General features: G+C 38.2%; 1 long non-coding RNA gene across 4 annotated transcripts in view, besides 2 other annotated features; it reads left to right on the top strand.

Annotated features, from left to right (window-relative positions):
• CCDC26 (CCDC26 long non-coding RNA) overlaps window positions 1–27,593 on the top strand; it is a 328,546-nt gene that overhangs the window by 142,320 nt on the left and 158,633 nt on the right. The gene's annotated exons all lie outside the window — the stretch shown is intronic.
• Window positions 21,498–22,431: an enhancer, noted in NCBI's record as "OCT4-NANOG-H3K27ac hESC enhancer chr8:130527735-130528668 (GRCh37/hg19 assembly coordinates)". NCBI's record gives its function as "activates a minimal SCP1, AML or CMV promoter by ChIP-STARR-seq in naive and primed H9 embryonic stem cells {active_cell/tissue: H9 hESC(naive and primed)}" and the evidence as "EXISTENCE:reporter gene assay evidence [ECO:0000049][PMID:30033119]".
• Window positions 22,432–23,364: an enhancer, noted in NCBI's record as "OCT4-NANOG-H3K27ac hESC enhancer chr8:130526802-130527734 (GRCh37/hg19 assembly coordinates)". NCBI's record gives its function as "activates a minimal SCP1, AML or CMV promoter by ChIP-STARR-seq in naive and primed H9 embryonic stem cells {active_cell/tissue: H9 hESC(naive and primed)}" and the evidence as "EXISTENCE:reporter gene assay evidence [ECO:0000049][PMID:30033119]".

The following is a 27,593-nucleotide window of genomic DNA, read 5'->3' as shown; positions in this document are numbered from 1 at the left end:
ACTCTGGCAAGTTTCTGTTCACTTGTGACACAGTCTTTGGACATATTCACAATCTGCACCTCACTCCTGGGACACAGCGCTCCATGGAGGCAGCTATTTCCAATGATTATGGTTAGATTTTAGGTTTGTTTGGATTTTAGCAGTGATTAGTGGTTATTTGTATTTCCATAACATTGATCATTCCTGCTAGTGTTAGGTGTGCTCCCCTCTGAAATACCTTGAACATTTTATGTTTATGTATGTAAGTGCTCATCTCCTGCTCCAGACAGCATCCGGCATCATATCTGACAGATTGGGTGTGTAATAAATGGTGGAGGACTTGCAATGATACACTTGGATAGAAATGTAACTTTAACAATTTCACCTATTGTCATTGACTATGCCTCAGTCTCAGCATCACATATTAAAGACTATAAATGTGGTTTTATCAGTCGTATTTGAAATTGATTGACAGACTGATGAAATCAATTTAATCCTTTCACTTATTTATTAAAATAATACTATCAGCACCTACTATTTAGTAGGCATGGAAGATCTTGGAATAAATGAGAATTTTTCCCCGACCTCAAGAAGCTGAGAATCTTGTGGGTAATAAATACAATATCAACTGTAACAAAAATCGAAACAAACAAACAAACAAAAACCCCCAAAAATGTTGAGGAGAAAGTTAAGCAAATATGTACAGGATAATCTGGACAAATAGGGAGTGAGTAGAAAAGCTTATTACAAATCCAGTTTTATTCTGCAGCTAAGTAGTCTTTGGCATTTACTCAGAGGAGCCTTCTTTTTTCTTTTTGTTATGGACTCATCATAACTTGACATAATTTTCTGGATAATGACTTGTAAGCTCCATGAAGGCAGTGGCAATGACTGTCTTGTTCATCACTGTATCCTCAGCGCTTTGCTCATAAAGCAATGGCACATAAGTACAGCGCCTGGCACATAAGAAGCACAGAATGTATGCTTGTTTAATGACTATGTGGATAAGCCAAAACTGGCCACAAATGCAATAATGAGGTCTGAAAAGCACATAATGTTGGTGCAATGTTTAGTATCCTGAAGTACGTTCCTGCTTCTGGAAAAGAGATTTCCCTTCCAGTTTAAATGTCCTGAATTACGTGTAGCCACATTGCCACCTTTCAAAAGCTAAGAGATTCTTAGACTATAAGCACAGTTCCAAATACACAGACATTCCTGGCAACTGAAGGAACATCCATGAAAGTCAGAGGGACTTTCTTTAAATGAATCAGATTTATAGGGTGAGAAGAGCTATGTGAATCTAGCCAGAGGCCAAAGTTCCTCATTTATTCCATCGTTGGCAAGTGAGGGCCTCAACAAGATATAAAAACTCCTGGCTTCTGCAAACCTGCCCTTGACGAACACCCAGTTCAGAAAGCTCTGTGCACCCCCGTCTCTGTCCGCTCTGCTCTGGTGTCTGGCTGCTTCAGGCATAATTCAGCCACTTGGAAGAAACACGGACATTGCAAGAGTGGCTGTGCTACTTTCTAGCTGCGAGGCCCTGGTTGGCTCACTTTACCTCTCTTTGGCTGCAAAATGAGAAGGTGGGCTCCTCTGATATCCAACTCAGCTTGAGTGTCTAGAAAATTGGAATCCAATCCCCGAGGCCAAGACACAGCTCAGCTATTCTACTTACTGGCTGTCTGATTTATCAGTGAGCAAATTCGTTTTGTACTGTTAGAGGAGGAACTCTTCCTCCTTTCAGAAACCAAGTCTCATTTTGGACAATGAAATCAATTTAGTGTGAACTCTCCACTGGATTGTGAGCTCATTGAGGACAGAGGCTGCATCATGCCCTGTTCCTACAGTGGCTGGTTTATAGCAGATTCTCAACAAACATTTGTCAGTGAAGGAATGAAGCTTCATCTCTGTTCCGGGTGCCCAGTGAGTCACTGCTGAAGTCCATATCGGGCCCTGCCTGTCCGCTGATGTCCTCTAGATGGCAAACTCAGCTTAATTTTGGGCAATAGTCAGCGCTTGTGGCTGGGCGATGCCCAGGCATGGAGTATTTTATTGGAAATCCAGTTTTATCCAGTGCACACGGAATCCTCGGAATGGCTGCAAGGCTCTGGAAATGCCAGCCAGCCAGCATGAATCTCTTTTCTTATCCAGGGAGATGATGGATGTGAATTTGTCATCATCTCCTGTCTCCCACCAAAGTTTATTCTGAATAAGGGAAGTGATCTGCTGGCCTCTTAAGTGGTGGGAAGGTGGAGAAGGGAAGAAGCTAATCTTTTAAAACAGGCATTATTGGGTGGCCTCATATGGATTTTCCCATTTAATTCTCATAACAACCTACAAAATAAGTAGTGTTATTATTTCCGTTATAAAAATGACTTTGAGGCATCCAATCCAAGTCAAGCAGCTATTTTGGCAGAGCTGGGTGGCCAAGACATGCTCATGTAATTCTGAGATCTCAGTTACTTTTCCCTTTTCTCACTGTTTTGCTCAGGCAGAGGAAAATCAAGGGTTAGATAAATAGCAGTATGATAGCTGTAATGAATTATTTGAATTTGAGATAAGACAGAGTGGTGGGCTCTGGCCAGTGAGGTCTGCTGTCGCTTGAGTGGATGACCAGGGCCTCAAGCAGTTGGCAAGACAGGTTTTTATGTGTCCGTGAAATTCTGTCACAGCTTCCAGGGAGCCCGTTTAGCATGACATGGTCGACTACAAAAGTTAGAAAAGTTTTCTGGCTTGGGAAACTCTGCTCTGATCTGGGGCTCATTTTCTCCAAAGCCAGATTTCTAATTCTAATTTCTAATTCTCTCTCTCACACACACAGTTTAGAGTTGGCTGGCACTTTTGGGAGAAAGGTTCTGGGAAGAGTCAGCATTCATTTATTTAACAGATATTTAGTGAGCTCTCATTATGGTTTGGATTCGGTTCTGTCAGGTATAATCCAAGCAAAATGGAAGCCCATGGAAGCCCTGCCTTAATAAAAGAAGAAATTAATACATGTGCAAAAATAATTAGAATGTAAGGTAGAAAATGCCAAGAAATGTGAAAAAATTTCTGAATTTTGAGGTGGGAGAAATTCCATACTCCCAAAAAGGGGAATGTGGGAAAGCTTCATGGAAAAGGTAATTTTTAAATTTATTTTTATTTTTTTGAGATGGAGTCTCACTCTGTCACCCAGGCTGGAGTGCAGTGGTGCGATCTCTGCTCACTGCAACCTCTGCCTCCTGGTTCAAGTGATTCTCCTGCCTCAGCCTCCCAAGCAGCTGGGATTATAAATGTACACCACCACACCCTGCTAATTTTTGTATTTTTGGTAGAGATGGCTTTTCACCATGTTGACTAGGCTGGTCTCCAACTCCTGACCTCAAGTGATCTACCCGCCTTGGCCTCCCAAAGTTCCAGGATTATAGGCATGAGCCATGTGCCTGACCAAGAAGGTGATTCTTGAGCTGGGCCTTGGAGATTATGTAGGATAAGGGTATTCAGTGATCAGTTGAAGGAGATGGAAGGAATGGGGTAGTGGCATAATAAAAGCAAAGGAAAGCCAAAAACCTAAATGTGTAGGTGGGGAAAAAATGAATTCTAGAATTCTACCAGGAAATAGAGAAGTAGGGGAGTTACAGACTGGCCTCAGATCAGAGGGTTTTTCTATGCCATGTTCATTTCCTATTATAATTATATTTCTCTTTGTCCTGTTCCTGGAAAGTTTTGCTGTATACATTTGATGTTATTAGGTGCATGCAAATTTAGAATTATTACATCTGATGAATTGACCCTTTATCATGAAATATGCCTCTTATCTCTAGTAATACTGCTTATGTTAAAGTCCATATTGGATGATACTGGTGTAGTTATACTACATCTCTTTTGTTGAGTTTTTGCATAGTTTATCTTTTTAAATCCTTTTAGTTTTAACCTTTCTGTGTCCTTGTATTTAAGGTATATAACATGTAAGCAGCATATAGGTTTTTTCTAATCTGACAATGTGTGTCTTTTAATTGGAGTATTTAGTGCCTTAGCATTAAATATAATTCCTGATATATTTGTGCTTTTAAAACATATGTATTTTCTGTTTGACTCACTTTTTAATATTTATCTTTTTTTGCTTTATTTAAAAATATGCAAATATTTCTAAATTCCATTTCTCCTCTTAATTAGAATTTTAGTTTTACATTCTTATATTATACTTCAAGTGGTTATCCTGAACATTACAAGACTAATTCCAAATTTATTAAATTTAACACAAATTAATATTTCTACCATCTCTCCAACAACGCTAGATCTTTAAACACTTAAAATTCATTTATCCTCTATTGCTTTTTAAAATATTCATTATAAGGTCAGGCACGGTGGCTCATGCCTGTAATCCCAGCACTTTGGGAGGCTGAGGCAGGTAGATCACCTGAGGTCAGGAGTTTGAGACCAGCCTGGCCAACATGGCGAAACCCCGTCTCCACTAAAAATACAAAAAAATTAGCCGGGCGTGGTGGCAGGCACCTGTCATCCCAGCTACTCAGGAGGCTGAGGCAGGAGAATCACTTGAACCCTGGAAGGCGGAGGTTGCAGTGAGCTGAGGTCACGCCACTGCACTCCAGCCTGGGCAACAAGAGCAAAACTCCATCTCAAAAAATAATAATAATAAGTAAAATAAAATAAAATATTCATTATAATTTTTCATATACTTTAAATCTATAAAACTTTACTTTTTTTGTGTTTACTCTATATTCATTTACCAACATATTTACCATTTCTATTATTCCTAATTTCTGCCTCTATTTCTGGGTTTCCATCTGGGATAATTTTCCTTCTGTCTGAAAATTTCTCTGGTTATTTTTGTGGATATATAGATCTGTTGGATATGAATTGCCTCAATTTTTTCTTGTCTGGAGATGTGTTTACCTTATCTTCACTTCGAAGGTTATATTCACTGCGTATAGAGGTCTACATTTGTGTTTATTGTTATTTTTCTCAGCCCTTTAAAGACATTCTTTCATTATTCTCTGGCTCCTATTATTTCTGTTAAGAAATCAGCCTTAAGTCTTTTTTTTTTAATTATTATTATACTTTAAGTTTTAGGGTACATGTGCACAATGTGCAGGTTAGTTACATATGTATACATGTGCCATGCTGGTGTGCTGCACCCATTAACTCGTCATTTAGCATTAGGTATATCTCCTAATACTATCCCTCCCCGCTCCCCCCACCCCACAACAGTCCCCAGAGTAAGTCTTATTTCTCTTTTGAAGTTAATGTATTTTTTTCTGTCTGTTTTAATTTTATTCTTTTTGGTTTTCAGACATTTGACTATGATATGTTTATCCGTAGTTTCCTTTGAATTTGTCTCACTTGGGTTGCTTGATATATTTTTTCTCCTCAATTATTCTTTATGCCTTATTCTCTTTTTAGTCCTCTTCTGGGACTTCAATTACATGTATATTAGTAAAATATACATATATCTTACCCTCTTTCTATATTTTCCATATTTTTTACTCTTCTTGTTTCAGTTAGTATATTTTCTACTGATCTATACTCCATTTGACTAATTCTTTCTTTTCCTCCATCTAATTTGCTGTTAAATCCACCTATTAAGTTTTAAATTTAACTTACTGCATTTTTTAGTTCTAATATTTCTATTTAGATTTTTAATTTATTCAATTTCTTTGGTGAAATTACCCATTTTGCTATATATTTTATTTTACATATTAGTTTCAGATAAAACCAATATTTGAGTCATGTAGTAGGAAGAATTGTAAAATGGCCCCCAAGATGTTTCTCACACTTCCCACCTAGTGTACACATTCCATGTATGATCCCTTCCCTCTTGAGTGTGAGTGCTACCAGTAAATTTCATAGGATATCACTGATTAGACTATATTATGTAACAGAGAGGATGAGCTAGTCACTCTTCTGATAAGACTCCTTCAAAGCAGACTGAAGAAAAGTTCTTCTGGCTTTGAAGAAGTAAGCTTCCAACTTGTGAGAGGACCACATGATTAGTAGAGTCAGGAAGAAAGTGGGGCCATTACATCAACAACCACGAGGAACTGAATTCTTCCAACAACCTGAATGAGCCTGGAAGAGGACCCCAAGCTAGGAATGCAGCCTCACTGATTTCAGCCTTGTGAAATCCTGAACAAAGGACCCAGTATACTGTGCATGGACTTCAAAACTTCAGAAACTGAGATAATGAATGAATATTCTTTTAAGTCTCCAAGTTTGTGATAGTCTACTGTAGGTATTTACTATATTGAAGACCAGTCATTTGTAGATCTATTTCAATATCTTTTTCTGTTCATCTTGGTTTTTGTTATGCTTACTTTTATATTGAAGACCTGACATTGTGTGTTAAAAATTGTAGAGGCTCTAGGGGATGCTCTTTTCCTCCATGGAGGGTTTATCCTTTTCTCTAATAGGCATCTAAGGCAGGAACAAGTCATCATAATCAAGAATGGAGTTTCTTCAAGGCTGGGTTTGCTATGTTTGCATGGATATATCTGAATTTGTATTTGCCCCCACTCCTAGGTGTAGCCCTCTGGGGGTACTAACTCAGGCCTGGGTGTTCAATTGGGCTTTCCTTAAAGCAGGTTTTGACCTTCAACTTTTGGATTCCTCAATACCTTAGCATTGACAAAAACTCTGCTCTACTTTGCAGTGGCTTATTCACTTGTATTTTTAGTTTCCTGACCTCTTGAGACATTGCCTTTCTACAGTGGTCTTCATTTCCCTCTGAGCCATCACTAGAAGAGTCTTTAATGTGCATATTTCTACTAATAGTCCCTTCAAGGCAATCTAAGCTTTTTCTGTCATGCTCCTCAAAATTTTTCCAGCTTCTGCCCATTGTCCAATTCCAAAGCCATTTCTAAGTATTTGTTTTCCCAGCATCCAAATTCTAGGTAACAAAATTTGTATCAGTCAACTAATCAGGTCAACCAGTGAAGCAGAACCAGTAGGACATAAATATTAAAAGATTTTTTGCAATGAATTAGATTATGTGATTGTAGGGACTGGCTAGGCAAGTCCGAAATCCATAGGGCAAGTCATCAGAAAAGAAAGACTGGAACTTTTGGACATGGACTGAAGCTTCTCTCCACAGATGGAATTTTTCTTTCTCTTAAGGAAGCCAGAACACTGATTTTCATTCAACCAATTGAATTTTGCCCACCTAGATTATCTAAAATAATCTCCCTTACTTAAAGGCAACTGCTTACGGTCTTTAATCACATCTACAAAATGCTTTCACAGCAACACATAGATTAGTGTTTTACTTAATAATGGAGGAATGTAGGCTAGCCAAATTGATATATCCAAAAGATCATCACAATTGGACATGAACTTATCTTGCCTTTGCAAAAAATAGATATTTGTCCTGATTTCTACACTTGGTGAAATGTTCAACTCTTGGTTTAAGTGTTGCCTCTTCACTGTCCACTGCCCCTACCCTCCTTTCCCAATATAAAATGAATTGTTTTCTCTTGGGTGTTCCATATATTACTCTCTTCTAGCATTTACTATGTTTTCTTGTACTGAGATCTAGTTGTTCACCCACTTACTACTCTGTGAGCTCTGAAAGCCAAGACCAGGTCATTGTATTCAATGTCTGATACCAAGTAAATGTTCCATAAATATCATTTAAATGTTTATTGATCTGTACCAAAGTAAAGCGTTGGTTTTTGTTTGTTTTAAAATCTTAATCAAAAGTCGCTGACTTTCTTGTGAAGGCTTATTTAAGTGGGCCACTTAATTATGCAAATATATAGCAAGAGTAAAATAGCCATTGTGTTGAGATAGCGTATAGCAAACTTGTATAACTTCATTAAGAGTGTCAGTCTCTAGATGAATGGTATGCAATGTTGATCTCTGCAGAAGAGGTGAATAAATTTGCATGAGGATCTTGCAGCTTTTTAAAAGAGAAGGGACAACAAACTGTCTTTTCTCCCTGAGATAGTGATTAAGAGAGAATTATCAGAGTGAAGCTGGGTGGAATGACTGACTACCCAGGTGCAGACAAACGCAATGAGACTCTTTAAATAAAATTATTCTTCAGTATGAGACAGTCTATGCTGATAGGCTGGATCTAGATTTCCTTGGAGGTGGGCTGGTTGCCTCCTACTGTGAGTGCTGTCAGAATTGCTTCCAGATCCAGCCACCTCAACACAGTGCTATACTCTGGGGAACAGTAGCTTAATGTGATGGTGAAACTGAACACCAGTCTCAGCCTGGAATCCCTTTGGCTTATGTTGTTAGATTATTCCTTTTTGAAGAATAGTAGTGCTCTGAGCAAGCAGTTTGACTAATGAGACAATATTGCCATGATGACCTGTATTCCATTACAACAACCTAGAATGATAAGTCATGCCAGTAGCTGCAGGTTGGAATTTGGTACTCTGCCTGCTGTAATGTAATTTTGAAAGAATGACCCTTTTTGACAATGTACAGTTTGTGTTTTAGTGCAATTTAGTGGAAAATTAGAATCTCAAAACAAATGACTTCTTTCTAATCTGGCAAGTGGGAGGATCACACATTCGTAATTGTACCTGAGGTTGGTAGAACTTTTTGTGTCAGTATCAGATGGATTAAGTGAATGAAGGAGTGAATAACATGTATGTTATTCCCATGCTGCAAGTTTTAACAGGAGAATGTTGACGTTGAAATCAGAAAGACCAGAATTAGGAAGATAATTCCAACACTTACTACCGTCTTAAGTGTGGGAAGTGATTTTACATCGCTGAACATCAGTTTCCACTTTTGTCACATGTGAATAAATTCATGTCTATTTCAGAAGACAATTTTGTGAGACAATTCAGACCTCCTGATTCCCACCTAGAAATGCCTTCCACTTTGCATTATACATCATTGTCATATGGAAAGTACTCACAGGCCACTAGTTTTTCAAATCCTGCTCTAGATTAGGGGTGAATAATAGATAAAATAAAAGACTTTTATCAACATGCATAGGAATCTCTTCTCCATTTAGAAGTGAGTTGAAGAACAGAACCATTGCACATCTTCTATAAAGTCCTATTTCTTCTCTATGCTAAGGTTATCCTTCTCTGTCAAATGGAGACAGTAGTTGCTATCAAAATAGGATCAAAATTCAGAAGGAAACAAAACAAGTAGAAGAGAAAGTGCTTTCTAAAGGAAGCGAAAATACAGGAGGCTCGAAATTGCTCAAGATTGTGGTTTTAGGTACTAGAAAATCTATTATTATGCTTTGCCTTTTTATTTATTTTAACAGGGAAAAAGCTTAGTTGGATCACCTCTCCACTGTTAGAGTTGGGCTCCTCCCATGAGTAATTGCTGCCCTGAAGTTGCCTCCTGATTTGGGGAATACTTAATTTGAGCACTGAAACTTAATTGGATCACCTCTCTGCCACCAGGGTTGGGCAGGGCCTGATGTTTTCTCCACAGGTAATTGCTGACTTGCAGTTGTCTTTCAACCTGGGGAAGACTTAAAGAGAGCACCTAGGCTGTGTGAGAAAGCTGGCTAAGGATTTGTGCCTGGGAGACCCATGGACCATGTTTCTTGCAGGGTGATGCTGTTGGCTAGTTTTTCTGATGTGGCACTTTCATTGGCTGGAATGCAGAGCAACCACCAACACTTGTACACTGGGTACTGTGAATGCCACCCATGATTTTTGTTTCTAACTGATCTCAGGTGATCTAGCCCTGCCAGTACTCCCAATGTTTCCCATGAAACATTTCAGGAGTGAGCCTCCTGAAAAAGGTCCGAAAAAGGTCCCCAAAAGGTCCCAAAATGGTGAGGAAGCTGAATGCCCACTTCCAACTCACTTTTCCTCCTATAGAAACCATAGTTTGGAAGGAATTCTCTGTGTGGTGCTGTGACACCTTAGGGGAGGGGCAGCATGGTCAAGGAGGACTGTTTCTCTTACTGTTTAATCATAGATTTTCTTGGTTCTGTGGTCCAGGAGGATGTCTCAACCTTACTCCCAATTTCTGAGATATTCATGATGGTATTTTTTTGCCTGTGGATAGTTGTTAGTTGAACTTCTATATGAGGAAATGAAGCCAGAGAACTCCCATTCTTTTTTTTTTTTGAGATGGAGTCTTGCTTTGTCACCCAGGGTGGAGTGTACTTGCACAATCTTGGCTCACTGCAACCTCCACCTCCTGAGTTTAAGCAATTCTCTTGCCTCAGCCTCCCAAGTAGCTGGGATTACAGGCACCTGCCACCATGCTCAGCTAGTTTTTGTATTTTTAGTAGAGATGAAGTTTCACCATGTTGGCCAGGATGGTCTCAAACCCCGACCTCAAGTGATTCGCCCACCTAGGCATCCCAAAGTGCTGGGATTACAGGCATGAACCACAGTGCCCAGCCAGAGAACTCCTATTTTTCCATCTTGGTGACATTACTCTTCATCTATTTTAAGCTGCTTGTCCTTCTGAGACTTTTAGCTCGATAAGTGTAATTCCTTGTCATTTTCCTGGTCTTAGAACTCTTCAAATCTCTTTTCTCCCTCAGCTACTCCATTCATTTGGGTACCAAATTCTATTGTGTTTCTATAATCTTCCTTCTCAAGTCTGACACTTACCCATATTTTCTATAACGTTTCTTCTCAACTGTGACACTTACCATATTGATTATTTTGTCCCCATTGCTACTGATTTCCCTAGTGCAAATCATCTGAGCTCATAGTTGGACTACTGAAATACCTTCCTGTGTGTGACATTATTATTTCCTCCATAGTAACCCATTCTATGTTTCCTCCATTAGCAGTAACCATGTGTTACAATGAGACTGGCCACACTCACATTTCCAACAATGATACCTCATGGGATATAATACCATATCCTTAACATCTTCACATTGTGATTGATTGCAGGAAATACATTTAATCCAGGTAATGATGTACTTTCTCATGGTCAAACTGATAGGTCCATGTGTAACCTTCCATGTATAGCTTTACAACCTAAGTTGGCCCACTCACTGTGAAACACTGGATTCCCTGGGCAAAGAGAAGCTCTGTTGGATTTGTGTTATGAGTGCATGAAGACTAAGATTACTGTGGTTTGCTTGACTGTGTGTTGGAAGCCAGTCTAAGGACCAAGCTGAAAGACAAGAGAGGGAGGAGTCAGGAAAATTGCAGAGAAAATGATTTAGAGGCCTTAATAATCGTCCTTAAGTTCCCTCTCTGGATCTCAGTTTTGTTAACTTGACAATTTACTTTATGGCTTAAAGCATTTTTAGTTAGGTATTCTTTTACATGTGCAACTCTTCAGTTCCCAAGTAAGCTCCCATCTTAGTTGTGACCTTATCTACCAATGCCAATATCTGTTATAATATTTATTATAAAGGCAATAGCTAACATTTAGTGAAGACTTATGTGTTCTCTGGACTACTCTAATAGTTTAAATGTATTATCTCATTTATAATTCATGGTAATCTTATAAGTTAGATATTTTTAAGGACTTATTTTACAGATGACAAAACTGAAGCCCAGAAAGTTAAATAATTTGGCCAAGGCCACCTGGCTAATATGGAATAGCAGATATATTACTTCGACATGACTACATGACAAATTACCCCAAATCTAGCAGCTTAAAACAGCAAACACTAATAATCACACTACATGTGTGGGTAAAGAATCTGGGCACAGCTTGTCTGGTGCTTTTGGTTCAAGGTCTCTCATCAGTGGCAGTCAAGCTATTGTGCTGGGCTGCAGTTTCATCTGGAAGCTAGACTGTGGGAGTTGGGGAATTCAATTCTAATCTCTCTCATGTGGTTTTTAGCAGGCCTTGGTTCCTGAACACGTGGCTATCTCTACAGTGTAGTCTCATGAGATTGCACTTAATTTTCCCCAGGACTAGTGATCTGAGAGAGAGTGAGCAAAAGATAGTAGGAGTAATAGAAACTATGATGTGCAGATGCACACATGAGGAGTAGAGGTGAGAGAGAGAAAAAGAAAGAGAGATAACACCTAAGATAGAAGCCATAATCTTTTGTAACCTAATGTCACTAGTGACATCCTATCATCTTCGCTGCATTCTATTTGATGGAAGGAGAGGACAAAGGCATAAATTCCAAAAGGTGGGGCTCACTGGGGCTATCATAGAGGTTGTCTACCCCAGTCACTATTCAAATTCTTGTAGTCAGAGTCCACACTATACTGGCTAACTATCGTTATACTTTACAGAGTTTCTAATGCCTGACTTTGTAGGGTCACTCCTCTCTCAAAATTCCTCCAGGCATTCATGATAAATTCTAATGCTATTACACATCTCAGTCTGTCTCTCATAAATCCACACCAAATGCATATTCAAAAAAATTTATTTTAATATTTTTTAAACCTTTTAATTTTATTTTTTGTGAGCATATAGTAGGTATATATATTTATGGGGTACATTAGATGTTTTGATACATTGGATAAAATAGGGTATCTATTGCCTCAAGCATTTATCCTTTGTGTTAAAACAATCCAATTATACTCTTAGTTATTTTTAAATGTACAATTAAATTATTATTGACTATAGTAACCCTGGTGTGCTATCAAATACCAGGTCTTCTTCATTCTTTCTTTTTTTTTGTACATACTAACCATCCCCACTTCCCCCTGTCCCCTAACTACTCTTCTCAGCCTCTGGTAACCATTCTTCTACACTCTATCTCCAGGACTTCAGTTTTAAATTTTAAATTTTAACTCCTATAGATAAGTGAGAACATGTGATATTTGTCTTTCTGTGCCTGGTTTATTTCACTTAACATAATGAACACTGGTTCTATCCATGTTTGTACAAATGATAGGATCTCATTTTTTTATGGCTGAATAGTACTCCATTGTGTATAAGTAGAACATTTTTCTTTGTCCACTTATCTGTTGATGGGCACTTAGGTTGCTTCCAAATTTTGGATATTGTGGACAGTACTGCAACAACTATGAGAATGCAGATATCTCTTTGATATGTTGATGTTCTTTCTTTTGGATATAAGCCCAGGAGTGAGATTGCTGGATCATACGGTAGCTCTATTTTAAGTTTTTTAAGGAACCTCTAAATGGTTTTCCATGGTGGTTGTACTAGTCTACATTCCCACCAACAGTATATGAGGGTTCCCTTTGGTCGTATCCTTACTAGCATTTTTTATTGCCTATCTATTGGATATAAGACATTTTAACTGGTATAAGATGATATCTCATTGTAGTTTTGATTTGTATTTCTCTGACAATGAATAATGTTGAGTAACTTTTTATATGGCTGTTTGCCATTTGTATGTCTTCTTTTGAGAAATATCTATTCAAATCTTTTGCCCATTTTAAAAATGGAATATTAAGTTTTTTTCCTATAAAATTGTTTGAGCTCCTTTTATATTCTGGTTATTAATCTGTTGTCAGATGGATAGTTTGCAAATATTTTCTCCCATTCTGTGGATTGTCTTTTCAGTTTTTTGATTGTTTCCTTTGCTGTGCAGAAGCTTTTTAACTTGATATGATTCCATTTGTCCATATTTTCTTTGGTTGCCTGTGCTTATGGGGTGCTACTCAAGAAGTCTTTGCCAACTCCAAAGTCCTGGAGTGTTTCCTCAAAGTTTTCCTGTAGTAGTTTAAACTTTTATGGTCTTAGATTTAAATCTTTAGTTCATTTTTATTTGGTTTTTGCATATGGCAATAGGTAAGGGTTTACTTTCATTCTTCTGCATATGGATATCCACTTTACCCAGTACCATTTACTGAAGAGACTGTCTTTTCCCCAGTGTATGTTCTTGGCCTCTTTGTCAAAAATGAGTTCACTGTAGGTATGTGGATTTGGTTTTTGATTCTCTATTCTGTTCCATTGGTCCATGTGTCTTTTTTTTTTTTTTTGAGACGGAGTCTCACTCTGTCACCCAGGCTGGAGTGCAGTGGTGCAATCTCGGCTTACTGTAAGCTCTGCCTCCTGGGTTCATGCCATTCTCTTGCCTCAGCCTTCAGAGTAGCTGGGACTACAGGTGCCTGCCACCACGCCTGGCTAATTTTTCGTATTTTTAATAGAGACAGGGTTTCACTGTGTTAGCCAGGATGGTCTCAATCTCCTGACCTTGGGATCCGCCCGTCTCAGCCTCCCAAAGTGCTGGGATTACAGGCGTGATATGTGTCTGTTTTTATGCCAGTACTATGCTGTTTTGATTACTGTAACTCTGTAGTATAATTTGAAGTCAAATAATGTGATTCCTCTGGTTTTGTTTTTTTTTTTGTTCTTTTTGTTTAAGATAGCTTTGGCTATTCAGGGACTTTCCTGGTTCCATATAAATTTTAGGGTTGCTTTTTTATTGATGTGAGGAATGTCTTTGGTATTTTGATAGGGATTGCGTTGAATCTGTAGATGACTTTGAGTAGTATGGACATTGTTGACAATATTGATTCTTCCAATACATGAACGTGGAATATCTTTTCATTTTTTGGAGTCTTCTTTGATTTCTTTCATTAACATTTTATAATTTTCATTATACAGATCTTTTACAACATTAGTTAATTTTTAGGTATTTAATTTTATTTGTGATTATTGTAAATGGGATTACTTTTTTAATTTCCAGAATATTCACTGTTGGCATATGAAAATGTTATTGATTTTTGTGTATTGATTTTGTATTTTGCAACTTTTCTGAATTTATCAGTTCTAATAGGTTTTTGCTACAGTTTCTATGATTTTCCAAATATAAGGTTATATCATCTGCAAACAAGGATAATTTGACTTCTTCCTTTCCAATTTGGATGTCCTCTATTTCTTTCTCTTGTCTGATTGCTCCAGCTAGGACTTCCCATACTATGTTGATTAACAGTGGTGAATGTGGGCATCCTTGTCATGTTCCCGATATTAGAAGAAAGGCTTTTAGATTTTCTCCATTTAGCATGATACTAGCTGTGGGTTTGTCATATATAGCTTTTATTATGTTGGGGTATATCTGAGTGTTCTTACTATGAAAGGATGTTAAATATTATCAAATGCCTTTTCTGCATCAATTGAAATGTTCATATGGTTTTTGTCCTTCATTCTCTTGTTATAGTATATCACATTGTTTGATTCATGCATATTGAACTACCCTTGCATCCTAGGGATAAATCCCACTTGGTCATTTGTGATGAATGATCTTTCTCATGTGTTGTTCAATTCAGTTTGCAAGTATTTTGTTGAGGATTATTGCATAAGTATTCATCAGAAATATTTGCCTGTAATTTTATTTTTTTTTTGGTGTTCTTTGTCTCCTTTTGGTATTAGGGTAATACTAGCCTTTTTGAATGAGTTTGGATGTATTTCCTCCTCCTCTATCTTTTGGGAGAGTTTGAGTTGAATTGCTGTTACTTTTTCTTTAAATGGTGTATTTTCTCCTCCTCTATCTTTTGGAAGAGTTTGAGTAGAATTGCTATTACTTCTTCTTTAAATGGTGAAATTCAGCAGTGAATTTGGGTTCTGGGTTTTTTTACTGGCAGACTTTTTATTATGGCTTCAGTCTTGTTGCTAGTTATTAGTCTGTTCAGGTTTTGGATTTCTTCCTGGTTCAATCTTGGAAGGTTAAATTTCATTTCTTCTACATCTTCACATTTACTGGCATATAGTTTCTCATAGTAATCAGTAATGATCCTGTGAATTTTTGTGGTATTAGTTGTAATGTCTCCTTTTTCATTCCTGATTTTACTTATTTAGATCTTTTCTCTTATTTTCTTAGTTAGCCTAGCTAAAGGCTTGTCAATTTTGTTTATGTTTTCAAAAGGTTTTTGTTTCATTGATCCTTTGTATTGTTTTCTTTATTTCAATTTCATTTATTTCTTCTCTGATTTTTATTATTTATTTTCTTCTACTACTTTTGGGTTTGCTGTGCTCTTGCCTTTCTAAGTCTTCAAGATGCATAATTAAGTTATTTAAAGTCTTTTTAAATATAGGTACTTACACCTATAAACTTCCCTCTTAATACTGCTTTTGCTATATCCCATAGGTTTTGTTATGTTGTGTTTCCATTATAATTTGTTTCAAGAATTTTTTCAATTTCCTTCTTAATTTCTTCATTGACCCACTGGTCATTTAGAAGCATATTGTTTAACTTCCGTGTATTTGTATAGTTTCCAAGATTCCTCTTGTTCTTGATTTGTAGTTTTATTCCACTGTGGTCAGAGAAGATGGTTGATATTGTTTAAATGTTTTGAATGTTTAAAGACATTTTGTAATATAACATGTGGTCTATCCTTGAGAATGATCTAATGTTCTGTAAATATCTATGAGTTCTATTTGGTCTTTAGTGCAGATGAAGTCCAGTGTTTCTTTGTTGATTTTCTGTCTGGAAGATCTGTCCAAAGCTGAAAGTAGGGTGTTGAAGTCTCCAGATGTTGTTGTACTTGGGCCTATCCTCTCTAATAATATTTGCTTTATATATCTGATTGCTTCATTATTGGGTGTCCATATGTTTACAATTTTTATATCCTCTTGCTGAATTGGCCCATTTGTCATTATATAGTAACTTTTTTGTTTTTTCTTATAATTTTTGTCTTGAAGTCTATTTTGTCTAATATAATTATAGCAACTCCTGCTCTTTTTTGGCTTCCATTGGCATGGCATATCTTTTTATATTCCTTTACTTTCAGTCTACATGTATCTTTATAAGTGAAGTGTGTTTCTTGTAGGCAACAGATAATTGGGTCTTGTTTTTTCAATCCATTCAGCCACTCTATATCTTTTGATGAAAGAATTTAGTTCATTTACATTTAATGTTGTTATTGATAAGAACTTACTCCTGCCATTTTGTTATTTGTTTTCTGGTTGCTTTGTGGCATTCTTTTCCTCCTTTTCTTTCTTCCTGTCTTCCTTTTAGTGACGGTGATTTTCTCTGGTGACATGATTTAGTTTCTTGCTTTTAATTTTTGGCATGTCCATTGTATGTTTTTAAATTTGAGGTTACCATGAGGTTTGCAAATACTATCTTATAACCCATTATTTTAAACTGATGACAACTTAACACTGTTTGGATAAACAAGCAAAAATAAAACTAATAAAGACTTTATGCTTTAACTTTGTTCCCATGCTTTTTAACTTTTTGTTGTTCTATTTATATCTTATTTTACTCTGTTTTGATAAGTTGTTGTAGTTACTGTTTTTGATTGGTTCATCATTTAGTGTTTCTACTTAAGACCACAGTTATAGTGTTATAATAATCTAGGTTTTTCTGTGTGCTTACTATTACTAATGACTTTTGTACCTTCATATGATCTGTCATTGCTCATTAAAGTTCTTTTCTTTATGGTTGAAGGTTTCCATTTAGCATTTCTTGTAAGATAAGTCTGTTGTTTGTCATCTGGGAAGTCCCTCAGCTTTTGTTTGTCTGGGAGAATCTATTCCTCCTTTATGTTTGAAGAATATTTTCCTGGGATATAGTATTCTAGGGTAAAAATTTTTTTTTCCCCTCAGCACTTTAAATATGTCATACCGCTTTTTCCTGGCCTGCCAGATTTCCACTGAAAAATTTGCTACCAGACATATTAGAGGAGCTCCATCGTATGTCATTTGTTTCTTTTCTCTTCCTGCTTTTAGAATCCTTTTTTATCTTGAAGTTTGGCTGTTTGATTATTAAATGTCTTAAGGTAGTCTTCTTTGTTAAATCTGCTTGGTGTTCTATAACCTTCTTGTACTTGGATATTGATATCTTTCTGTAGGTTTGAGAAGTTCTCTGTCATTTCTTTGAATAAACTTTCTATGCCTGTCTCTTTCTCTACCTCTTCTTTAAGGCCCATAGCTCTTAGATTTGCCCTTTTGTGGCTATTTTCTAAATCTTGCAGACATGCCTAACTCTTTTTTATTTTATTTTTAGTCTCCTCTGTGTATTTTCAAATAGGCTGTCTTTAAATTCACTAATTCTTTCTTCTGCCTGATCAATTCTACTATTAAGAGACACTGTGGCATTCTTCATTATGCCAACTGCATTTACAAACATGTTTGAAATATATTATTTAAATTTATTCATTATTTTTTCATACATATTCTGCTTATGTACCAATTGCTTTTTTCAGCTCCAGAATTTCTCTTTGATTTTTAAAAATTATTTAAATCTCTTCATTAAATTTATCCAATAGAATTCTGAATCCCTTCTCTGTGTAATCTTGAATTTCTTTGAGTTCAAAGAAACAAATAACTATGTTGAGTTCTCTGTCTGAAAGGTCACATATCTCTGTTTCTCCAGGACTGGTCCCTGGTGCCTAATTTAAAGTTCACTTGATGAGGTTGTGTTTTCCTGGATGATCTTGATGCCTGTAGAGGTTCTTTGTGTCTGGGTATTGAAGAGTTAGGTATTTACTGTAGTCTTCTCAATCTGGACTTGTTTGTACCTGTCATTTTTAGGAAGGCTTTCCAGATTTTCCAATGGACTTGGGTGTTGTGATCTAAGCTGTATCTCTTTTAGTAGGCACCCTAACCCTTGTTTGTACCTGTCCTTCCTGGGAAGGCTTTCCAGATTTTCCAGTGGACTTGGGAATTGTGATCTAAGCTGTATCTCTTTTAGTAGGCACCCCAAACTCAGATACACTGTGGTTCTTGCAGATTCATGGATGTACCACCTTGATGGTCTTAGACACAATCTGGAAGCATTCTCTGTATTACCAGGCAGAGACTCTTGTTATCCTTCCTTACTTTCTCCCAAAGAAGTGGAGTCTCTCTCTCTCTCTGTCTCTCTCTCTTTTCTGAGCCACTAGGTCCTGGGTGTGTAGTGACACAAGCACCCCTGTGGCTACCACCACTAGGAGGGTGCTGGATGCCAGTACAGTATTAGATCTCACCCCAGGCCTGTTGTACCCACTCCCTTGCTACTGTCTATGTTTGTTCAAGGCCCTGGGGCTCTACAATCAGCAGGTGGCAAAGCTGATTTTGGGTTTGCTTTGCTCTTGCTTTTCTAATTCTTTAAGATGCATAACTAAATGATTAATGAAAGGCCTGTGTCCTTTCATTTAGTGTGGTGAATTCTCCCAGAAGCCAGGCAGTTCCAGAGGTACCATCTAGGACCCAGGGATGAAAGTCAAACCTTAGACGCCTACCTGTTATTCTACTGTACTGAGGCTAAGCTGGCACTCAAAGCACAAGTCACTTTTCTTCCTACTCTTCTCTCTTTCCAAAGGCAGAGGACTTTCACCTGTGGTCACCACCACCACAGACCCATGAAGAGTATTGCCAGACTATTGCTTATGTTCCCTTAAGGCCCAGTGCTCTCCAGTCAGCTTGTGGTGAATGCTGCCTGGCTTGGGACTCACCCATAAAGGCAGTGGACTCTGGTCCATGGTAGGTCCAGAAATACCACCCGAGAGCCAAGTCCTGGTATTGAGGACCCAAGAGCCTACTTGGTGCTCTTCTTCCCTGTAACCGGCTGACACCTGAAGCCAGCAAATCTCAGTATCTCAATCAAGGCCCTTGACAGGGTACCTGGGTATCACTGCTTCTGGTTATTCAGGGACTAAGGGGTCTTCAGTTAGCAGGTGATGAATCTTTCCAGGACTGGGTCCTTCCCTTCAAGGCAGTGGGTTCCTTTATGGCTAAGGCTGTGTCTAGAACTGTCATCTGGGAGCCAAGGCTTGGAAAGGAGGCCTCATGACTCTGACTGGTACGTCCTGTGGCTGAGCTCATATCCAAGATGCAAGACAAAGTCCTCCCCACTCTTCTCGCTCCTCTCCTCAAGTAGAGGGAAGGGTTCTCTTTGGGAGCCATGAGCTGTGCTGCCTGGGTTTAGGGGAGGGGTGATGCCAACACTTCCTTTGCTGTCTCAGCTGATGTTTCAGTAGGGTATGTGCCCTCCTAGTCCACTGGCTCTCAGCCCAGTTCAGCACCAGGAGTCACCTAGGAGTTACAGTCCTTGTGGCCTAGACTGCCTTTCAATTTTATGTAGAGTCCCAGAGTACTTTATCCCAAGATGGTGAGGCTTGCAGGAACTCAAGTATGGACCACTGAGATAGATGATTTCCCTCTGGCTGGGGCTGGCTTAAATGCTCCCTCTGTAAGCAGATGTCAGCTGATTTTGGTTTTGTTTTGTTTTCTACTATAATAGGTCAGCACTGAGTTTAACGCCTCATGATTTCTGTGCTCTTTCTCTCTCCCCAACACACTGAAATGCTTTTTGCACCATGCTGCTGCTGCCAGGGGATGAGAGAGGGGTGGCACTGGTGATTTGTTTCTCCTACCTCTTCCATGCCTTTTATTATGTTTGATAATTGTTAAATTGGTGTCCTTGTTGGGGGAACAATCAGTGGAGCTCTCTATTCTGCCATCTTGCTCTGCCCCTCCCCAAGTGTATCTAAACTCTCTCAGAACCAAACTAGTCTCTCTACTTCCAATAAAGCGTCTCTAATGTGATTTGATGTGTGATGAAATCTTTATGATAATAATTAAAAATACCTAGATATTCTTCGATTCTGATATATTGCCTGTGTTTTCTCACTGTTGTGTTTTTTGCTATGTCAATTCTTCCTCCCTGAATTCCTTTGGCACCTTTTCTTCACCATTTGTGAAAATCCTATTTATGCTTAAAGCTTCTGTGCACATCTTGTCCTTTTTAGATGATATACCAGATTTCCCACCGCCATTCCTGCTGAGATTAATCTCCTTTTTCTCTACTATACTGTGGTCCTTTTTGTCCCTTTCTTAGTTCTTTCACACTCTTTCTACTGTTTGAATTACCTGACCATATGTTTGCTCTTGATAAATTCCTAGGATGCTGAAACTCTGTCTATCAGGATCAAGGTTGGAAGAGTTGTGTTGAAGCGGCTAAGTTGTCTAGGGTATAAATCTGGGGTTCGTCGTCATGTGCCAGGAAAATTTAGGACATGGAAACACACAAGGGGTTTAGAAGCAGAGGTTTAATAGGTAGAACAGAAGAGAAAGAGAAACAGCTTCCTCTAAAGGGGAAGGAGTCTCCGAACAGAAAAGACTGGCTAGTGGTGAATGCACCAAGTTTTACAGTTCAGTTTGAGTGTTTGATTTACATAGGGCTCATAGATTTGTTCTATCAGGTATGACGTTTACATAGCACTTGAAAAAGGCTGGTCTCCCCACCCTAATCTTATTATGCAAATGAGCTTTCCAGTTGATTGGTGCCAACTTGTCTGCTCCTTATAGTACACAGTGGCTGGCAGAGAAGGGAAGATGGAGCCGCCATTTTGAAAATGTCTAGCCCTTAGTTCTTGCTGGCATTCACCCATGCAAGCTCCCAGCTTGCAGACTGCTCTTTGTTAGAAAATGATGTGGGGCTGCTTCTCATTAAAAAGAAAAGCCTTACAGAGGACTCCCATGCCCTTGCTATCTGCCTAAGTAATTCCTTCTTAACTCCTATATCAGTATCTATAAAAAGTGCTTGCTTCATGGGGTTATTGTGAGGATTAAATGAGCTCAGCTCACTGTATAAACTCAATACAAGGGTCTTCTTTTCATTAAAAACAAAACAAAACAGAAACTAAATCTCATACTGAACTGGCTCTTAGTACTAATTCCGCTCAGGTCTTTAACTTGAAATTTCCCCAGGGATTCTTCTGCTTACATTTCCCCTGTTCAAATTTTAGTGCCTTTTAATTAAATTAACCTGAATGTCTCCAATCTTCTTTGGACAGGTTTTACTATCACTTCATTTCCTCCTCAAGCCAAGACTCCTACACTAGAAGTATATCAGTCAGGATAGGCCAAATTATGCCATAGTAACAAACAACTCCAAATTGCAATGGCTTAAGACAGTAGAGATATATTATTTACTCATACTGTATGTCTACTAGAAATTAGCTCTGTGCTGTTTTCACTACACAACCCATGCTGAAAAAATAGTCACCACTGGGAATGTTGGAAGGAAACATGCATAGAGAAGACCGCATCAGGTCTTCCACCACTATTTGAGTGCTATAGCCTGGAAAAGACGCATGTTACTTCTGCTCACATTTATTGGCCAGAACCATATATGTGGTTTGTTATGAGTTGAATTGTGTTTACCTAAATGGTATGTGGCTGTCCTAAACCCAGTACCTATAAATTTGATCTTATATGGAAGTAGGGTCTTTGCAGGTGTAATCAAGTTAAGACGAGGTCATTCTCATGTAGAGTGGGCCCTAATCCAATATGAATGGGGTTCTTATAAGAAGAGGAGAAAACCCAAGCACAGACACATGAGGAAAGAAGGCCATATGATGATAGAGGAACAGATTGCAGAGCTGCAGCTGCAAGCCAAGGATTCCTTGCATTCCAGTACCAGTCACAGGCATTCCAATGCCATTCAAATACCAGAAGCTAAGAAGAGGCAAGAAAGCATTCTCCCCTAAATGTTCCAGAGGGAGCACAGCCTTCAGGCACCTTAATTACATATAGCCCCCAGAACTGGGAGACCAAACATGTCTGTTGTTTTAAGACACCCAGTTTGTGGTACTATGTTACAGCAGCCCTAGAAAACTAATAACATGGTCTTAGCCAACCACCAAGAGGTCAACAAATTTAGTCCTCAATATGCCTGTTTGGGGACCAAGGCCCTCTAAAAACTCACTGAACAATCACTGACATGAGGCAGATCGATTAATAGGAGAAAAGGCATACAAATTTATTTAACATGAATACATGAGAGCCTTTAGAATGAAGACCCAAACTCCCAAGAAGGGACAGAAATTTATATGCGATCTTGAAGTTATAGAAAGAATGTGGTCTCAGAGCATGGACAATAACAGGTTTTATTGGCAGGAAGGGTTTTGGAAGAGAGAAAGAGGCTTGGCTAGCAAAGGGGGTCTTGTTATGTAGATGAACCCTATAGGTAGCAGCTGTCAGAGACAATAGATGGTAAATGTTCCTTTTCAGAACTTTAATGGTGCCAGACTCTCAGTTAATATTTCCCAGTTCAGGAAAAAGCCTAGAAAAGAAAGACCTGGCTGTATTAGTGATGATTCTCTACAGATGTAAATTGCCCCCACAAAAGACAGCTTTGTGGGGCCACTGCAGTCTGCTGGCTCTGTGGCAACTATTTCAAAATATGCCAAATAAATATATTCTGAGATAAAATATTTTGATTTTCTTCACCTGAAAAAAGAGGAGGACTGGATATATATCAGTTATTAGCACTAATGTTTACAAAAGGAAGCATCATTAAGTAAGATAAGATTTACTGAAGATTTTGTGGATTTCATCACAACATGTGGCAAAATCTTGTCAAAATATCTACCTGAGAATTCTTTTTTTCCCAATTTTTTCTTAGTGACTGTGCTTTTCCTTTCCTTTATAACCAGTAAATAAAACCACCACTTTTATTTTTATTTTCTTGCAATTCATCTCTCACCTTATTCAGCTAAGTAAAAAACCCAGTGATGAGCCAAATATCAATAATGTGTTCTTCCAATTGAAGGAATTCTCCTATTGCAGGATCTCCTGCCAATCTGGGGCATGAGTCAGGGGTTGCTTCTGTGGTTCCTAAGTCAACACTGGACTAGGTTTTAATCCCCAATTATGTTCTTAGCACATTTCCACCTTCTGTTGAATTTTAGATCTTCAGATTGCATCATTTACACTCATGAATTAAGGCTGCATTGCAGAAGCAGCTTCTCAGCCTGTATTTTCATTGCCTTGCACATTACAGGCACATGATACCAGTTTGACTTCATTATTGAATCACTTATATCTCACATTTTTGGTATAGTGCCTTGCCCAAAAGTGTAATCATTGTCTACTAAGTTTTTGCTCTAGGCAAACCCATTCAAGTAATAAATATGCATGAAATCATGCTGTATAGTAAAGCCTACTTCATTATCAGTAGGTACAAGAGTCCTCTTTGTTTTCTCCTTGGTATGTTACGATCATAAGAAAGCCCTAGCTATTCTGATTTCCTGCAACAAGACAACCTAGTGTCTGCAGCAAATATGAAGGAGTGGTTGCTGATGTGATTTGAAGTTAGGGCTCATATTGGCTAGGTTGGGGGGGCATCTGTGGCCAAGTGGCAGGGAGTACAAGATAGATTATTTGACATATCTCTTCTCTAGTCTCTTCAACATATACAATGTTATTAGCACATCTTTCGTTGAAGGGACAGGCCAGAAGCACAGAATGCTTTAATTTCTCCAGGTAGCATGATACATAAATATTTCATATGTACTAAGCAATCACAAGCCATTTCTTCTTTTCAGCAAGTCAAGTCGCATAAATTATTTAATGTTTGGCTTGGATTCATATTTATCAGATTACCATTTACATTAAATTATGTTAAAATATTAATTTAAGCATATGATGAGCAAATCCAGTTCCCAACAGTGGAATATTTGCAAGGTGTTTGTTGAGTAATCAGACATTTATAAATTATTACAAGCCATTTCTTTATATTTAGCCAGATAAGACAAAGATACCCTTTGAGGAAAACAACTTCTACCTTCTGAAGTTGATTTCGGTTTCTTGGTGCATATCAGAAGTACTAGAAGATGTAATTACCAATATGTGCATTGCTTTTTAAAAAATAAGCATTAATAATTGATAATGTTTTCGCTCTGTGTCCTCACCCAAATCTCATCTTGAATTGTACTCCCATAATTCCCATGTGCTGTGGGAGGGGCCCAGTGGGAGGTAATTGAATCACGGGGGCAGTTTCCTCCATGTTCTTGTGGTAGTGAATAAGTCTCACAAGATGTATAAGGGGTTTCCGCTTTCACTTCTGTCTCATTCTCTCTCTTGCTGCTGCCAGGTAAGAAGTGCCTTTCACCTTCTGTCATGATTTTGAGGCCTCCCTTGCCAGGTGGAACTGTAAATCCATTAAATCTCTTTTTCTTCCCAGTCTTGGGTATGTCTTTATCAGCAGTGTGAAAATGGACTAACACAATAATCCAACCCAAATACAGGTTAATATATCTGAATGTTCATATACATATGTGATGAACTGTATGTATATAGCATATATACACACACATGATATATCCCTATGTATGTATATACATGGTACACATATAGGATTTATGTATATAGAATATATATATAGTATAGACATGAGTTTATATATATATGAGTTCTGTGTCTGCCATTTATGCATTGAGTATTCATATGTGCTAGGCTTTTCTCTAAGTGGCTCACATTATTTTCATATTGAATGCTTATAACATCCCCTCAAAGTGTGTATTGATAGTCTTGCTTTGTAGATGAGGTTACTGAAGTTTAGAAAAGTTAAGTAATTTGGTGAAATATAATTAGTGGTAAATGATTAGCAATGAAGCTTGACTTTGAACCACAGTCTTTCTAACTTTACAGCCCTTACGTCTAAGCACTATATTATAAAGCCTCCAGTGTAAAGCAAACTCTGCCTTTATTCTCTGGAATTTGTAAAACTTTCCCAGGAATGACCCTTAGCAATTTTGTCTAATATTGCCATGTTACAAAGGAAAAATCCAAAGCCTAGAGAATTAGGAATATTCCACTTGGAATAACTGAAAAGCCCATATTATAAATGCAATTCCAAACCTAACCAGGATAGGATCTATGTCTTTTTCATCTTTTATTACCCCAAAACTAGCACAAAACTTAGTATAACAAATAGCAATGTTTGTTATACGAATGAATTCTTGACTGACTGGATAAATGTAGCTACTTCCTACTTATAAATCTCCGGTGATTTCCCCATCATTTTTGGGACAAACTCCTGACCTCTTATACAAGTCTCATATGTAGACTTCCATGACTGATCGGTCCTGCTGAACTCTCCAACTGATTGTCCATATATGTGAAATAGGTACTTTATACTCCAGCAGAGGTGAGTTGACAGACAAGTTTCAGAACATGTAGTGTTTGCCCCGTTCTTTCTGCCTTTGTACATGCTATTACTGACTGTCTTGAGCTTTCCTTCCTCTGCATGTTGAGCTGATAAAGTCTTTGACTCCTAGAAATGTTCCCAGGCCTAGAGGGATTCCTCCTTCCTCAGTGTTTCTGTGGTACCCTTTACTATTGGAAACTCAGGTTCTGCTGTTCACTGCTTGAAAGCTAGATTCAAGAGACAAGAGTTGGTGGAAGGAAAAACAGGTTTATTTGAATACATCCAGCTGACAACCTGAGGAGATGGTGAACTAATGTCTCAAAGAACACTGCAAATTCTCAGGGTAGCCAAAGTGATTTTAAGGGAGAAGGTGGCATAGAAACTATGTGCCAGAGCGGTGCGGGGTGCAGGTCTGCTTGTCTGATTCTGATGGCTCTCTTGAGTAATGGACCATTTGGAGGTCTGGCTGGCATCATCTTGACTGTTCTCAGGTTATAAGTTAACTACTGCCCAACAATTTTTCTGGGAAGGAAAGATTCTGTGATCTCAACTTCATGCCTAGGTCATTTCAAGATTAGCCCCTGGAATTCTTAAATAAGCATATGATTAGAGATTGAAGAAAGCAAAGGGAGAGGCTATTTATCTTTGAAGCAGGTTGTCTATTCTGGTTACACTATCTCATTTGACAGCTCCTAGAGAGTAGTGTCCACGACTTAGCAACAAAAACAACAAATATAAATCCTATTTACTGAGTGCCTACTAGTGTCAAACGCTCTACATACATGATCTCATTTTATTCTCTCAAAATAATGAAATGAATGTGACTGCCTTTTAACATTTTGTGCACCTAAACACCATAGCGCTTTATATATCCAACACACAGATTCAAAGCTAAATGTGCTTTTAATTAATTCATATTTAACATTATACCATTACATTCTCACTCATTCCATTGAAAATATATTTTTGAAAAATGTAAGTATCAGGGTACTTAAAAAAAAATGAAACCTTTCACTGTAAAATGTTTACTGAGCACCTAGTAAGTACACAGCACTATGTTCGGTTATACCCTCATATTCTTGCAAAGCCTAGATTGAAGAAAGCAGTGACAAAAAATGTGTTTTGGGAGAAAAGCTTATTTTAGGGTACCAAGAGAAAAAAATGATTCAGGTAAGGCAAAAAAGCAAAGCTGAAAGGAAAAGGAAGGAAAGGGTGTAAGGGTGTAGTTTTTTTTGAGCACCTATTAGGCACATGCCATTTTTCACACTTTAGAACATTTAATTGCTATAAAGATGGTATGAAGTTGGCTATTATGGGCTGAATCTTTTCATCTCAAACATTATGTTGAAGCCCTAACCTCCCAGTGCTGTTGAATGTGACTTTATTTGGAAATAGGGTCTCTGTAGAAACAATCAAGTTAAAATGATGTCATTAGGGTGATCTTTAATCCAATGTGATTGTGTCCTTATAAAAAGGGGAAGTCTGGAGACAGACATGCACAGAGGGAGGACAGTATGAAGACACAAGACTAATACCACCTATAAGCCAAAGGATGCCTGAGGCTACCAGAAGCTAGGAGAAGGCCTGGAAGAGGTTATTCCTCACTGTCCTTAGAAGGAACCAATCCTTGGCTGGGCATGGTGGCTCATGCCTGTAATCCCAGTGCACTGGCAGGCTGAGGTGGAAGGATCACTTGAGGCTAGGAGTTAATGTCCAGCCTGGGCAACATAGTGAGGCCACACCTCCAGAAACAATACAAACAATTAGCTGGGTATGATGGCATGTGTCTCTAATCTCAGCTACTCAAGAGGCTGAGGAAGAAGTATTGCTTGAGCCCAGAAGTTGGAGGCTGCAGTGAGCTATGATTACGCCACTGTACTCCAGCTCAAGTGACAGAATAAGACACCTTCTGATACCTTGA

Source organism: Homo sapiens, chromosome 8, assembly GCF_000001405.40.
Source record: "Homo sapiens chromosome 8, GRCh38.p14 Primary Assembly".
In the NCBI taxonomy this organism is placed as follows: domain Eukaryota; kingdom Metazoa; phylum Chordata; class Mammalia; order Primates; family Hominidae; genus Homo; species Homo sapiens.
Note: the sequence above shows the minus strand (reverse complement) of the source record. Positions and strands in the feature narration are given on the sequence as shown.